Source organism: Homo sapiens, chromosome 20, assembly GCF_000001405.40.
Source record: "Homo sapiens chromosome 20, GRCh38.p14 Primary Assembly".
Classification (NCBI taxonomy): Eukaryota; Metazoa; Chordata; class Mammalia; order Primates; family Hominidae; genus Homo; species Homo sapiens.
This window is the reverse complement of record NC_000020.11, coordinates 18,326,286-18,342,115: the sequence shown is the minus strand read 5'-3', so window position 1 is coordinate 18,342,115 and position 15,830 is coordinate 18,326,286. Positions and strand designations below refer to the sequence as shown.

The window sequence follows — 15,830 nt, the reverse complement described above, 5'->3', positions numbered from 1 at the left end:
ATATACTTTAAAGTGTACATGGCAGTGACAATCACAATGTTCTGCAGCCATCATTGCTATCCAGATCTAGAACATTTTTGCACCCCAAAAAGTGACCCTATGCCCATTAAGCAGTCACTCCCTATTTCGCCTTTCCTCCTGGCCCCTGGCAACCACTAATCTTGTCTCTGTGGATTATTCTATTCTGAATATTTCATATAAATGGAATGTAGTTTGTTCTCTTCATTCTAATAATGTGGTGTACTACATTAATTTTCTTATGCTGAATCAGGAACTCACTTGGCTGTGCTGTATAATCCTTTTAATGTACTCCTGGGTTTGGTTTACTAGTATTTTATTGAGGATTTTTTCATCTATATCCATAAGGGATATTGGCCTCTATTTTTCCTTCCTTGTGATATGTTTGCCAAAGTTTGCTCTCAGGGTAATTACTGGCCTCATAGAATGAGTTAGGTATTGTTCCCTCCTTTTCTACCTTTTGGAAGAGTTTAAGGAGGATTGCTGTTAATTTTTCTTTAAATGTTTGGTAGAATTCACCATTGAAGCCATGTGGTTTTGAGGTTTTCTTTATTAGGAGATTTTTCATTACCGACTCAATCTCCTTGCTAGTTATAGCTCTGTTCAGATTTTCTATTTACTCCTGATTAAGTTTTGTTAGTTTGTACGTGTCTAGCAATTTGTACATGTCATCTATGTTATCTAATTTCCTGACATACAATTATTCATAATATGCTCTTATAATCTTTATTTCTGTAAGGTCTGCAGTAGTGGCCCCACTTTAATTTCTGATTTTCTGGCCCAGCACAGTGGCTCATGCCTGTAATCCCAGCACTATGGGAGGCCGAGGCAGAAGGATCACCTCAGGTCAGGAGTTCGAGACCACCCTGGCCAACATGGTGAAACCCCATTTCTACTAAAAAAAAATACAAAAATAAGCTGGGCGTGTCGTGGGTGCCTGTAATCTCAGCTACTTCGGAGGCTGAGGCAGGAGAATCGCTTGAACCCAGGAGAAGGAGGTTGCAGTGAGCCAAGATTGCACCACTACACTCCAGCCTGGGTGACAGAGTGACACTCTGTCTCAAAAAAAAAGAAAGAAAAAAATTCTGATTTTCATCTCCTTTCTTTTTAATCTTGGTCAATTGAGCTGAAGATTTGTCAACTTTGTTGATTTTTGCAAAGAAGGAACTTTTGGTTTTATTGACTTTTCTATTGTTTTCTATTGTATATTTCTATAATTTCCACTCTGATCTTGCTCTAAATTGAGTCTGCTTTTTCCTTTTCTAGTTTCCCAGGATCAAAGGTTAAATTATTAATTTGAACTCCTTCTTTTTCTTGTAGGCATTTATAGCTATAAATTTTTTGAGCATTGTTTTTGCTGCATCCCATAAGTTTTGGTATATTGTGTTTTTGTTTCATTCATCTCAAAGCATTTATTGTTTATTTTTATTTTTATTAAAGAATCATTCATTTGTAGCCAGGCGTGGTGGCTCACGCCTGTAATCCCAGCATTTTGGGAAGCCAAGGCAGGCAGATCACTTGAGACCAGGAGTTTAAGACAAGCCTGGCTAACGTGGTGAAACCCCATCTCTACTAAAACTACAAAAATTAGCCAGATGTGGTGGCCCATGCCTGTAATTCCAGCTACTCGTGAGGCTGATGTATGAATGAGAATGGCTTGAACCTGGGAAGTGGATGTTGCAGTGAGCTGAGATTGTGCCACTGCACTCCAGCCTGGGCAATAGAGTGAGACCCTGTTTCCAAAAGAAAAAAAATAAAATCATTAATTTGCTTTTAATCTAAAATAGTTTTGATATTTATGCTTCTAAAGTAGAATCAACCAGAAGGCAAGGACATGAGGGAAACAATTTTCCACTTCTAACATAAACTCAAATTTGAGATTCCTTTTTCTTTTTTGAGTAAAACCAGTTATTTGCTGTTTATAAGGTTATTTCTGAGTTGCAAAAATTATCTGCCCCCTCCATGTTTATGTAGTTTCTATATTGCTGCATTCAATCTTAGCTGTCATAATCAGACAGAAAGCATAAAGCTTTTTTCTTGCATCTGTGGTAGGGACCTTAGCAGCAGTGACTCCAGTCAAAGCATTTTTAAATTTCCCTTCTGTTTTCTTCTTTTATCCACTGGTTGCTTATGAATGTGTTAATTTCCACATATTCGTGAAATTTCCAGTTTTCCTTCTGTTATTGACTTCTGCTTTCGTTTCATTGTGGCCGGACAAGATGCTTTGTGTTATTTCAGCCTTTTTATACCTACTGAAGATAATTTTGCAGCCTAAGAATATTTGAAGAATATTTCATGTGCTCTTGAGAAGCATGTGTAATCTGCTGTTGTTGGGTGAAGTGTTCTACATATGTCTATTAGGTCTAGTTGGTTTACAGTGATACTTAAGTCCTCTGTTTCCTTATTAATCTTCTATCTAGTTGCTCTATAGCTCAATAATCCATTAGTGAAAATGGGGTACTGAAGTCTTCAACTATTATTATAAAATGGCCTGTTTCTGTTTTTAATTTTGTTAATTTTTGTTTCATATATATTATGGGGCTCACACTGTTACACATCTATGTTTATAATTTTTCTAACTTCTTGATGGATTGACTTTTTCATAACATATAACATAACATAAACGTATAATATCATTCTTCGTCCCTTGTAACAATTTTTGACTTAAATCTACTTTGTCAGATATTAGGACAGTCACTCCAGCTCTGTCTTGGTTACTATTTCCATGTAATATATGTTTCCTGTCTATTCATTGTCTACCTCTTATGCCTTTGGATCTAAAGTGAGTCTCTTGTAGATAGTACACAGTTGGTTCATATTTTAAAAATTCATTTTAGTGATTTCTCCCTTTTAATTAAATAATTTAATACATTTACACTTAAAATAATTACTGATGAGGAAGCATTTACTTCTGCCATTTTGGGATTTGTTTTCTATATGGATTATATATTTTTCATTTTTCAATTCCTGCAATACTGCCTTCTTTTGTGTTTTTTATTTATTTATGTATTTATTTATTATTATTATACTTTAAGTTTTAGGGTACATGTGCACAATGTGCAGGTTTCTTACATATGTATACATGTGCCATGTTGGTGTGTTGCACCCATCAACTCGTCATTAGCATTAGGTATATCTCCTAATGCTATCCCTCCCCCCTCCCCCCACCCCACAACAGTCTCCGGAGTGTGATGTTCCCCTTCCTGTGTCCATGTGATCTCACTGTTCAATTCCCACCTATGAGTGAGAACATGCGGTGTTTGGTTTTTTGTCCTTGCGATAGTTTGCTGAGAATGATGGTTTCCAGTTTCATCCATGTCCCTACAAAGGACATGAACTCTTCATTTCTATGGCTGCATAGTATTCCATGGTGTATATGTGCCACATTTTCTTAATCCAGTCTGTCGTTGTTGGACATTTGGGTTGGTTCCAAGTCTTTGCTATTGTGAATAGTGCCGCAATAAACATACGTGTGCATGTGTCTTTATAGCAGCATGATTTATAATCCTTTGGGTATATACCCAGTAATGGGATGGCTGGGTCAACTGGTATTTCTAGTTCTAGATCCCTGAGGAATCGCCACACTGACTTCCACAATGGTTGAACTAGTTTACAGTCCCACCAACAGTGTAAAAGTGTTCCTATTTCTCCACATCCTCTCCAGCACCTGTGGTTTCCTGACTTTTTAATGATCGCCATTCTAACTGGTGTGAGATGGTGTCTCATTGTGGTTTTGATTTGCATTTCTCTGATGGCCAGTGATGATGAGCATTTTTTCATGTGTTTTTTGGCTGCATAAATGTCTTCTTTTGAGAAGTGTCTGTTCACATCCTTTGCCCACTTTTTGATGGGGTTTTTTTGTTTTTTTCTTGTAAATTTGTTTGAGTTCATTGTAGATTCTGGATATTAGCCCTTTGTCAGGTGAGTAGGTTGCAAAAATTTTCTCCCATTCTGTAGGTTGCCTGTTTACTCTGATGGTAGTTTCTTTTGCTGTGCAGAAGCTCTTTAGTTTAATTAGATCCCATTTGTCAATTTTGGCTTTTGTTGCCATTGCTTTTGGTGTTTTAGACATGAAGTCGTTGCCCATGCCTCTGTCCTGAATGGTATTGCCTAGGTTTTCTTCTAGGGTTTTTATGGTTTTTGGTCTAACATGTAAGTCTTTAATCCATCTTGAATTAATTTTTGTATAGGGTGTAAGGAAGGGATCCAGTTTCAGCTTTCTACATATGGCCAGCCAGTTTTCCCAGAACCATTTATTAAATAGGGAATCCTTTCCCCATTGCTTGTTTTTCTCAGGTTTGTCAAAGATCAGATGGTTGTAGATACATGGCATTACTTCTGAGGGCTCTGTTCTGTTCCATTGATCTATATCTCTGTTTCGGTACCAGTACCATGCTGTTTTGGTTACTGTAGCCTTGTAGTATAGTTTGAAGTCAGGTAGCGTGATGCCTCCAGCTTTGTTCTTTTGGCTTAGGATTGACTTGGCGATGTGGGCTCTTTTTTGGTTCCATATGAACTTTAAAGTAGTTTTTTCCAATTCTGTGAAGAAAGTCATTGGTAGCTTGATGGGGATGGTGTTGAATCTATAAATTACCTTGGGCAGTATGGCCATTTTCACGATATTGATTCTTCCTACCCATGAGCATGGAATGTTCTTCCATTTGTTTGTATCCTCTTTTACTTCATTGAGCAGTGGTTTGTAGTTCTCCTTGAAGAGGACCTTCACATCCCTTGTAAGTTGGATACCTAGGTATTTTATTCTCTTTGAAGCAATTGTGAATGGGAGTTCACTCATGATTTGGCTCTTTGTTTGTCTGTTATTGGTGTATAAGAATGCTTGTGATTTTTGTACATTGATTTTGTATCCTGAGACTTTGCTGAAGTTGCTTATCAGCTTAAGGAAATTTTGGGCTAAGACGATGGGGTTTTCTAGATATACAATCATGTCTTCTGCAAACAGGGACAATTTGACTTCCTCTTTTCCTAATTGTATACCCTTTATTTCCTTCTCCTGCCTAATTGCCCTGGCCAGCACTTCCAACACTGTGTTGAATAGGAGTGGTGAGAGAGGGCATCCCTGTCTTGTGCCAGTTTTCAAAGGGAATGCTTCCAGTTTTTGCCCATTCAGTATGATATTGGCTGTGGGTCTGTCATAGATAGCTCTTATTATTTTGAGATATGTCCCATCAATCCCTAATTTATTGAGAGTTTTTAGCATGAAGGGTTGTTGAATTTTGTCAAAGGCCTGTTCTGCATCTATTGAGATAATCATGTGGTTTTTGTCTTTGGTTCTGTTTATATGCTGGATTACATTTATTGATTTGAGTATGTTGAACCAGCCTTGCATCCCAGGGATGAAGCCCACTTGATCATGGTGGATAAGCTTTTTGATGTGCTGCTGGATTCAGTTTGCCCGTATTTTATTGAGGATTTTTGCATCAATGTTCATCAAGGCTATTGGTCTAAAATTCTCTTTTTTGGTTGTGTCTCTGCCAGGCTTTGGTATCAGGATGATGCTGGCCTCATAAAATGAGTTAGGGAGGATTCCCTCTTTTTCTATTGATTGGAATAGTTTCAGAAGGAATGGTACCAGCTCCTCCTTGTACCTCTCGTAGAATTCGGCTGTGAATCCATCTGGTCCTGGATTTTTTTTGGTTGGTAAGCTATTGATTATTCCCACAATTTCAGCTCCTGTTATTGGTCTATTCAGAGATTCAACTTCTTCCTGGTTTAGTCTTGGGAGAGTGTATGTGTCGAGGAATTTATCCATTTCTTCTAGATTTTCTAGTTTATTTGCGTAGAGGTGTTTGTAGTATTCTCTGATGGTAGTTTGTATTTCTGTGGGATTGGTGGTGATATCCCCTTCATCATTTTTTATTGCATCTATTTGATTCTTCTCTCTTTTCTTCTTTATTAGTCTTGCTAGCGGTCTATCGATTTTGTTGATCTTTTCAAAAAACCAGCTCCTGGATTCATTAATTTTTTGAAGGGTTTTTTGTGTCTCTATTTCCTTCAGTTCTGCTCTGATTTTAGGTATTTCTTGCCTTCTGCTAGCTTTTGAATGTGTTTCCTCTTGCTTTTCTAGTTCTTTTAATTTTGACGTTAGGGTGTCGATTTTGGATCTTTCCTGCTTTCTCTTGTGGGCATTTAGTGCTATAAATTTGCCTCTACACGCTGCTTTGAATGTGTCCCAGAGATTCTGGTATGTTGTGTCTTTGTTCTCATTGGTTTCAAAGGACATCTTTATTTCTGCCTTCATTTCATTATGTACCCAGTAGTCATTCAGGAGCAGGTTGTTCAGTTTCCATGTAGTTGAGTGGTTTTGAGTGAGTTTCTTAGTCCTGAGTTCTAGTTTAATTGCACTGTGGTTGGAGAGACAGTTTGTTGTAATTTCTGTTCTTTTACATTTGCTGAGGAGTGCTTTACTTCCAACTATGTGGTCAATTTTGGAATAGCTGTGGTGTGGTGCTGAAAAAAATGTATATTCTGTTGATTTGGGGTGGAGAGTTCTGTAGATGTCTATTAGGTCCGCTTGCTGCAGAGCTGAGTTCAATTCCTGGGTATCCTTGTTAACTTTCTGTCTCGTTGATCTCTCTAATGTTGACAGTGGGGTGTTAAAGTCTCCCATTATTATTGTGTGGGAGCCTAAGTCTCTTTGTAGGTCACTAAGGACTTGCTTTATGAATCTGGGTGCTCCTGTATCGGGTGCATATATATTTAGGATAGTTAGCTCTTCTTGTTGAATTGATCCCTTTACCATTATGTAATGGCCTTCTTTGTCTCTTTTGATCTTTGTTAGTTTAAAGTCTGTTTTATCAGAGACTAGTATTGCAACCTCTGCCTTTTTTTGTTTTCCATTTGCTTGGTAGATCTTCCTCCATCCCTTTATTTTGAGCCTATGTGTGTCTCTGCACGTGAGATGGGTTTCCTGAATATAGCACACTGATGGGTCTTGACTCTTTATCCGATTTGCCAGTCTGTGTCTTTTAATTCGAGTATTTAGCCCATTTACATTTAAAGTTTATATTGTTATGTGTGTATTTGATCCTGTCATTATGATGTTAGCTGGTTATTTTGCTCGTTAGTTGATGCAGTTTTCTTCCTAGACTTGATGGTCTTTACATTTTGGCATGTTTTTGCAGTGGCTGGTACCAGTTGTTCCTTTCCATGTTTAGTGCTTCCTTCAGGAGCTCTTTTAGGACAGGCCTGGTGGTGACAAAATCTCTCAGCATTTGCTTGTCTGTAAAGTATTTTATTTCTCCTTCACTTATGAAGCTTAGTTTGGCTGGATATGAAATTCTGGGTTGAAAATTCTTTTCTTTAAGAATGTTGAATATTGGCCCCCACTCTCTTCTGGCTTGTAGAGTTTCTGCCGAGAGATCTGCTGTTAGTCTGATGGGCTTCCCTTTGTGGGTAACCCAACCTTTCTCTCTGGCTGCCCTTAACATTTTTTCCTTCATTTCAACGTTGATGAATCTGACAATTATGTGTCTTGGAGTTGCTCTTCTTGAGGAGTATCTTTGTGGCATTCTCTGTATTTCCTGAATGTGAATGTTGGCCTGCCTTGCTAGATTGGGGAAGTTCTCCTGGATAATATCCTGCAGAGTGTTTTCCAACTTGGTTCCATTCTCCCCATCACTTTCAGGTACACCAATCAGACTTAGATTTGGTCTTTTCACATAGTCCCATATTTCTTCAAGGCTTTTTTCATTTCTTTTTATTCTTTTTTCTCTAATCTTCCCTTCTCACTTCATTTCATTCATTTTGTCTTCCATCACTGATACCCTTTCTTCCAGTTGATCGCCTCAGCTCCTGAGGCTTCTGCATTCTTCACGTATTTCTCAAGCCTTGGTTTTCAGCTCCATCAGCTCCTTTAAGGACTTCTCTGCGTTGGTTATTCTAGTTATCCATTCATCTAATTTTTTTTCAAAGTTTTTAACTTCTTTGCCATTGGTTTGAATTTCCTCCTGTAGCTCGGAGTAGTTTGATCATCTGAAGCCTTCTTCTCTCAGCTCGTCAAAGTCATTCTCTGTCCAGCTTTGTTCCATTGCTGGTGAGGAGCTGCGTTCCTTTGGAGGAGGAGAGGTGCTCTGCTTTTTAGAGTTTCCAGTTTTTCTGCTCTGTTTTTCCCCCATCTTTGTGGCTTTATCTACTTTTGGTCTTTGATGATGGTGACGTACAGAAGGGTTTTTGGTGTGGATGTCCTTTCTGTTTGTTAGTTTTCCTTCTAACAGACAGGAAGGACCCTCAGCTGCAGGTCTGTTGGAGTTTGCTAGAGGTCCACTCCAGACCCTGTTTGCCTGGATATCAGCAGCGGTGGCTGTGGAACAGCGGTGGCTGTAGAACAGCGGATCTTGGTGAACTGCAAATGCTGCTGCCTGATTGTTCCTCTGGAAGTTTTGTCTCAGAGGAGTAACCGGCCATGTGAGGTGTCAGTCTGCCCCTACTGGGAGGTGCCTCCCAGTTATGCTGCTCGGGGGTCAAGGACCTGCTTGAGGAGGCAGTCTGCCAGTTCTCAGATCTCCAGCTGCATGTTGGGAGAACCACTACTCTCTTCAAAGCTGTCAGACAGGGACATTTAAGTCTGCAGAGGTTACTGCTGTCTTTTTGTTTGTCTGTGCCCTACCCCCAGAGGTGGAACCTACAGAGGCAGGCAGGCCTCCTTGAGCTGTGGTGGGCTCCACCCAGTTTGAGCTTCCCGGCTGCTTTGTTTGCCTAATCAAGCCTGGGCAATGGCAGACGCCTCTCCCCCAGCCTCGCTGCCACCTTGCAGTTTGATCTCAGACTGCTGTGCTAGCAATCAGAGAGACTCCGTGGACGTAGGACCCTCCGAGCCAGGTGTGGGATATAATCTCCTGGTGCGCCATTTTTAAAGCCCATTGGAAAAGCACAGTTTTAGGGTGGGAATGACCCGATTTTCCAGGTGCTGTCTGTCACCCCTTTCTTTGACTAGGAAAGGGAACTCCCTGACCCCTTGCGCTTCCTGAGTGAGGCAGTGCCTCACCCTGCTTCGGCTGGCACACAGCGCGCTGCACCCACTGTCCTGCACCCACTGTCGGGCACTCCCTAGTGAGATGAGCCCAGTACCTCAAAGGGAAATGCAGAAATCATCCGTCTTCTGCGTCGCTCATGCTGGGAGCTGTAGACTGGAGCTGTTCCTATTCGGCCATCTTGGCTCCACCCTCCGTCTCTCCCTTTTGTGTTTAATTGATGTTTTTAAGTGTATCATTTTGTATAAAAATTATCCAAGCATGGTGGCACATGCCTATAATCCCAGCTTCTTGGGAGGCTGAAGCAGGAGAATCACTTGAACCTGGGAGGTGGAGTTTGCAGTGAGCTGAGATTGTGGCTACTGCACTCCAGCCTGGGCAAGAGTGAGACTCTGTCTCAAAAAAAAAAAAATTGTATCAATTTGATTTCTTCTCTTTTCTTTTTCTCATTATCTTTTTAGTTATTTTCTTCATTGTTACTCTGGGAATTACAATTGTCATCTTAAATTTGTAGCACTCTAGTTTAAATTTATACCAACTTACTTTCAATAGTATATAAAAATTCTGCTCCTATACAGCTTTGTCCCCTCCTTACATTGTTACTGCCACAAATTACATCTTCATACATTGTGTGCCAATTAACATTGTTTATAATGATTATTTACACATTTGTCTTTTAAATCATATAGAAAAAAACAGGAGTTACAAGCCAAAAATACAATAATACTTTATATTTACATATGTAGCCACCATGTCTGGCTAATTTTTCTATTTTTTGTAGAGATTAGGTCTTGCCATGTTGCCTGGGCTGAAGTGATCTGCCCACATCAGCCTCCCAAAGTACTTGTTGGGATTACAGGCATGAGCCACGACACCCAGCTAGGTTTTTTTTTTTTTTGGTCTCTTTCAGCACCTTAAATATTTATCCTACTGTCTTTTTGGCATCCACAGTATCTGAAGAAAAACCAGCTGCTAATCTTATTAAGAATCTCTTGTAAGTGATGAGCCTCTTCTCTTCTTGCTTTCAAGATTCTCTTTGTGACTTTTGACAATTTGAATACAACGTATCTCAGTGTGAATCTCTTTGCATTTACCTTACTTGTGTAAGGTTGGTGGAAAAGTAATTGTGGTTTTTGTTATTGAAAGTAATGGCAAAACTGCAATTACTTTTGCACCAGCCTATATAGTTCACTTAGCGTTTTGAATGTGTAGATTCATGTCTTTCATCAAATTGGGAGAGTTTTTAACCATTATTTCCTCAAATATATGTTCTGGCCCTTTCTTTCTTCTCCTTCTGGGACTCCCATTATATGTATGTTGGTATGCTTGATGCTGTCCCATAGTTCTCTGAGGATTGGTTCATTTTTTTTAAATAGCTTTATTGAGACATCATTGACATATAAAAATTATATATATTTAAAGTGTACAATTTGATGTCTTGATATGTGTACGTTGTGAAATGATCACAACCAAACTAATAAACATATCCAGTACCTCTACATAGTTACCATTGTACATGTGTGTAATTAGATTTAAAATTTATCCTCTTAACAAATTATCACTATACAATATTGTTTAACTGTCATTACCCTGTTGTACATTGAAACTCCAGGAATTATTTATCTTTGCTAATTCTTCTTTATTCTTCTTTTTGCTTCATACAATAGATAATCTCAATTAACCTTCCTTCAAGTTTGCTTATTCTTTGTTCTGTTGTTGAACCACTCTAATTAACTTTTCATTGCAGTAATTGTACTTTTCAGCTTCAGAATTTCTATTAGGTTGTTTCTTATATTTTGTATAGCTTTATTGATATTCTCTATATGGTGACACATCATTCTTCTGGTTTCCTTTAGTTCTTTGTCCATGGTTCCCTTTTAACTCTTTGAACATATGTTAAGACAGTTGATTTAAAGTCTTTGTCTGGTAAGTCCAGTGTCTGGGCTTCTTCAGGGACTGTTTCTATACATTTCTTATTTTCCTGCAAATGGGCCGTAATTTCTTGCTTCTTTGCATGTGTCATAACATTTTGTGGCAAAGTGGATATTTTGAATAATATGACAACTTTGGAAATCAGATTCTCCTTCTTCTCCAGAGTTTGTTGTTGCTGCTTGTTGTAGTTTGTTGTTGTTTAACACTTTAATGGTTTAGACACTTCTCTAAACCATTTTTGTTAAAGCTATATTCCTTGTCATTGGCCACTGAAGTTTTGTTATTTTAGCTTAGTGGTCAGCTAGTGATTTGAAGAGATTTCCTGAAATAGTGAGAGCCAAAAGTATAAAATACTCTCCCAGTCTTTGCAGGTTGGCTTTGCATGAGGAACTCCTTCAATGCTTGGCCAGGTTGTTTAAAACTCTGCCTTAACCTTCACTCCCTCCTTGTGTGGAGCCTAAAAGTTAGATAGATGTTAAAGATTAGAGTCTTTTCAGGTGTCTCTGGGCATATGTCCAGCCTGGGCATGTATGTGACCTTCTGGATTTCTTCATATATACAGAAGCTTTTCAAAGTCATCATTTCTCCATGTATCTCCATGTGTGCTCTCTTTCTTCCCAGACTTTTCTTGTTGCTTGTTGCTTGCTCCAACTGTCATCCTTTGTCTCAGGTGGCTAAGGCTAATACATTTGCTTTTACATGCTTTCAACAAACACCATCTGGAAACTGCTTATGCCTTGGAGAAAGTTTGAGTCAGGTAAAAGAAAAGCAAGCCCTTGTGCCAACCCTTCAGGGAGCCCAGACAGATCAAAACACACCACCATGATTCCTTGAAAATAAGTCCATATTTCTCCCTCTGATGCCAGCAACCTGCATCTGGAATGTGAGCTGCTGTCTTAGCTGCTACCAAGCTGATGATGGGGCATGGTAAGCAGGTAAGTTACAAAGCCACAGCACTTTTACCAAAATTCAGCAGTGTCTTTCTTCAGTAAGCATTCCCCTGCTTGCTATTGTTGTTTTTTAATAGATTCCCAGAGTTCCAAAAAATTTGACTCTGACAGTTTTTGCCAGATTGTTCATTGCTTTTGTGGAGAGACAGGATTTTAGAGTTCCCTACTCTGCTATTTTCAGTAACATTACTCCTGGATGACTAAGTTTAACTTGTTTACAGGTATTAGAAGTGAATCATTTCCTTTAAAAAAAATGTTGACTGGGTGCAGTGGCTCACGCCTGTAATCCCAGCACTTTGGAGGCCAAGGTGGGTGGATCACGTGAGGTTAGGAGTTCGAGACCAGCCTGGACAACATGGTGAAACCCCGTCTCTACTAAAAATACAAAAATTAGCTGGGTGTGGTGGCGCCTGTAATCTCAGCTACTCGGGAGGCTGAGGCAGAAGAAATGCTTGAACCTGGGAGGGGGAGGTTGCAGTTAGCTGAGATCGCGCCACTGCACTCCAGCCTGGGCAACAAGAGCAAAATTCCATCCAAAAAAAAAAAAAAGTCATAAAAAAATAAAAAGCTCAGAACCAGAGACACTCTTAGGTAATTTTTAGTATATAAGTCCTTGCATAAACTAGGTGTTCAATACTGTCAAAGCAATTTAAGAATATAAGAAACAATACCAGGTCCTAGAAAGAGCAAGTATGAACGAAAAAGTATCTGATAAAGCTCTCAATGAATTTAGAAGCTTATTTTGCCAAGGTGAATGATGTGCTTGGGAAACAAGTCTGTGCCTTTCTCCAAAGATGACTTTCAGGGCTTCAACATTTAAAGGAGAAAAGTGGGATAGAGAGGAAAGAGGGAGAGTATGGTAATCCACATATTGCAAGAGAAAAGGAGCAAGCAAGGGAATAGTCAATTATGTATTGGTGTCACACTCAGTAAATTGACACGTTACATAAGATAAGATGAACATAAAGTAGCTACCTGTGGAAATATTTAACCTTTTATCTGTAGTTATCTACTTAGGAACAAAAGGAAAGGTAGTTGCTTGCATGACTCAGCTTTCAGCTTAATATTTTTCCTTTGGCATAGTAAATTTATTTTCTTTTCACAATTCTCACCGCCACTTTTTAAAAAGCCAGTCAAATTTAGCAGTGGGGGGGTCATATACCAACTTTAGTGACACTAGTGTTAATAAGTTCTGATAACCCACTACCATTGGACCAAACCTCCCTATTTTTTCTTTTAAACTCTTTCAGAAAATGCATTTTAGAAGAAAATGAGTCTCTGATCTCAGGATTTGTCTGATCTCTCACGATTGGGATGGCCCATTCCTAGAGGGGTAAGGTCCCACGTTGTTAGGAAAACTCATTTTTAGCCAGTTATGAAGTCTTATATTCTACAAAGAAAAAATAGGTGAAGGACAGAGAAAGGAAGCAGAGGAAAGATGAGAAAATAACAAATATTTTTTAAAAAGGGAGAACAATCCTGGAAAACTGATATAGGCCATATTACTCCGAAGTCAATACATCAGTAGGTAGGTATAAAATTTGTTTATATATAGAGATACATAAGTTTATGTTGTCTAGCTTCAGTATTTAAAATCAGGAAAAATGGCAGAAAAAGGAAAGGAGAGAAGAAAAAAATGAAAACATTATTTTGGAAACTTGTAGTCACGAAATATTTTAGAATTCAGTCCAAATTGTAGAATATAATAAAAGTTGAAAAACACTTGACAAAGTTAGAATCCAATAACAGGTGTACTAGAGTTTATTTTGAAACATGATTTTTCTCTCTCCAATTCTCCCATTTTATTAAAGACAAAATCATAGTAGGACCACTTTATTTGTAAAGTAAGTTTTAGTCTTATTATTGGCTTGATTATTTACATGAAGTGCAGCAACAATAATCATTTGCCATATAGGCTGTCTTTTTGAAAAATTTGGCTTTGCTGGAAGCTTTTCCATAAGGAATCTGAGATTAGGGCTTTTCTAAAGCCATGAGGCCAGTCAAGGATTTATCTGTGCCTGCAGATACCTGTGTAAATGGAATAAATTCCTCTCTTTTTGAGGTCTCCAAAAAACCTTGGGGTTCCTAGGTATGTCTGAAAGTGACATTCTTTACTTACCACAGGCCAGGACCCTGTAAATAACAAGGTATAAGGCCAATCTTTCCAAGGGGTTTTTAGTGGCTCTAAAAGTTAGCCTTATTTTCTCAGGGCAGTCTGAATATATGTCATTCCAGTCAAAGCGTTGGTAAACTAACCAGTATCTCCAATTACATCCTGTTATAAAAGAAAACAGATTCTTATTGAGCTTATATAAATAACTATATTGCCATAAATTAAGAATACTTACAAATAATTTCCAAATTTTGGGGAAATGAGGTAGAGAGAAAGAAATTATGTTTTAAATTTTGCTCACTAGAGTATAATTTACTCAATTGTTAAAAGCTGTACATAGCTTAAAAGAAGAGAAAATTTTCTTAAATCTGAAAAATAAAACAAAGAGAACTGGCAAATTTTTAAATAAAAAGCCATAAAGGATTATTGTAATTATTTCAATCTTCTATTAGTTCAGTCCATGCAATTAACTCCTGTTCTTCTCAATAGTCGATCAACAACCCTCATGAATACATCAACTTTCCATGAGAGTTCTGGAAGTTTTTCTCTTTATTCCAATCGCACAGTCTCTAATACTATCAGAAACTCATATTTAAGAGTACTCCTCAGAGGTCTATAGCTGATTATAAACCACTCTATAAACAGACCAAAGTAAAACCACAATTGTGGATAATGAAAGTCTTAGAACGGTCATGGTTAAAGACACAATTTACAAGGAAATTTGGTTACTCCTGCGGCATACAACAATTTGACATAATAATCATAATTACTACTGATAACATGTACTAAGATGTATCAGAATCACAGGAATCTCATATAATTTTGGAATACATACTAATAACACATTTATATAAATATAATCCAAAGAACGTTAAACACCATTTCATATTTGATGATGCTTCTTGTATGGTTTTATTATGCCAAATAAGCAAAATATGTCTCTTTTGGACTTCAGGGGACCTAATATCAAAAAATTAAAAGGTCAAAGGACTGAATTTAGAACTTGATTTTGGAAAGTTTGTCAAATATAAAAAAAGTTTAAAACACTTGATATCATAAATGGGATCACAGGAAATTGTAAAATAAGTCATTCATTCAGCCAAAGTGATAACTGAAATATTTTTTTTAAAGGCAAAAGCCTTTTTCTTTGAGAGAGGAGACTTAATTTCCCAAACAATAAGTACTAATAAAGAAAGCATGAGGCCAATTAAATCTGCCTGAAGTCTTATAAACAAATCTATTAAATTTTAATCATCTTGACCATAAGATTTAACTTCCCTAAACCTTTTTATAACTTTTTCTAATTTTTTAAAGAGTAGGTTAATGCTCCAAGAAAAACCTTGTCAATCTGACACAGGGGCCCAGATGCTGGTCTTGCATCGGTGTTTCTTTGATTATTAATGTTTAATCTATAGAGAAACTCTGATATAATTTTCTCTCTCAAAATTGGCCCTTACAGTCTCACACACTCACCTTTTCTTCAATAGTCCCTGGGCCTAGAGGGGTTGAATAGTTTTAATTTCTGGCTCTGTGTTTCATGAATGCAGTTTATTTTTATTGTTATCATCTCCTAAGTCTGAAGGTGAGCCTTTAACTGCTGTCAGTGTTTAAGATTCAGCAGAACTTGGTCCTTTTTGCATCCAGGAGTCAAAACCCTGTAACTCAATAGCACAAGGATTTTAAAAGTAATACAGAAAGTTACATGTAGGTAATAGCCTTAATTAAAAACAAAATTAATCTCAGTTTTCCTAAGCAAATCAAAACTTAATAATGATGTAGGAATTATTTCAATAAAACATAAAATCTGTTTGTTAGTCCAGTTACCAA

General features: G+C 37.8%; 1 long non-coding RNA gene and 1 pseudogene across 2 annotated transcripts in view, besides 1 other annotated feature; one reads left to right on the top strand and one right to left on the bottom strand.

Annotated features, from left to right (window-relative positions):
• Positions 1–15,830, top strand: part of ZNF133-AS1 (ZNF133 antisense RNA 1) — a 47,923-nt gene that overhangs the window by 17,168 nt on the left and 14,925 nt on the right. For both annotated transcript variants that reach the window (NR_187569.1, NR_187570.1), the window contains one exon: positions 13,141–13,223. This is a non-coding gene — a long non-coding RNA (ZNF133 antisense RNA 1). The remainder of the gene's footprint in view (positions 1–13,140; positions 13,224–15,830) is intronic.
• Positions 11,569–12,768: an enhancer, noted in NCBI's record as "CDK7 strongly-dependent group 2 enhancer chr20:18309992-18311191 (GRCh37/hg19 assembly coordinates)". NCBI's record gives its function as "activates an origin of replication core promoter dependent on BRD2, BRD4, P300/CBP, MED14 and CDK7 cofactors, with strong dependence on CDK7, by STARR-seq in HCT116 cells {active_cell/tissue: HCT116}" and the evidence as "EXISTENCE:reporter gene assay evidence [ECO:0000049][PMID:35650434]".
• RNY4P11 (RNY4 pseudogene 11) lies at positions 13,014–13,107 on the bottom strand (annotated as a pseudogene).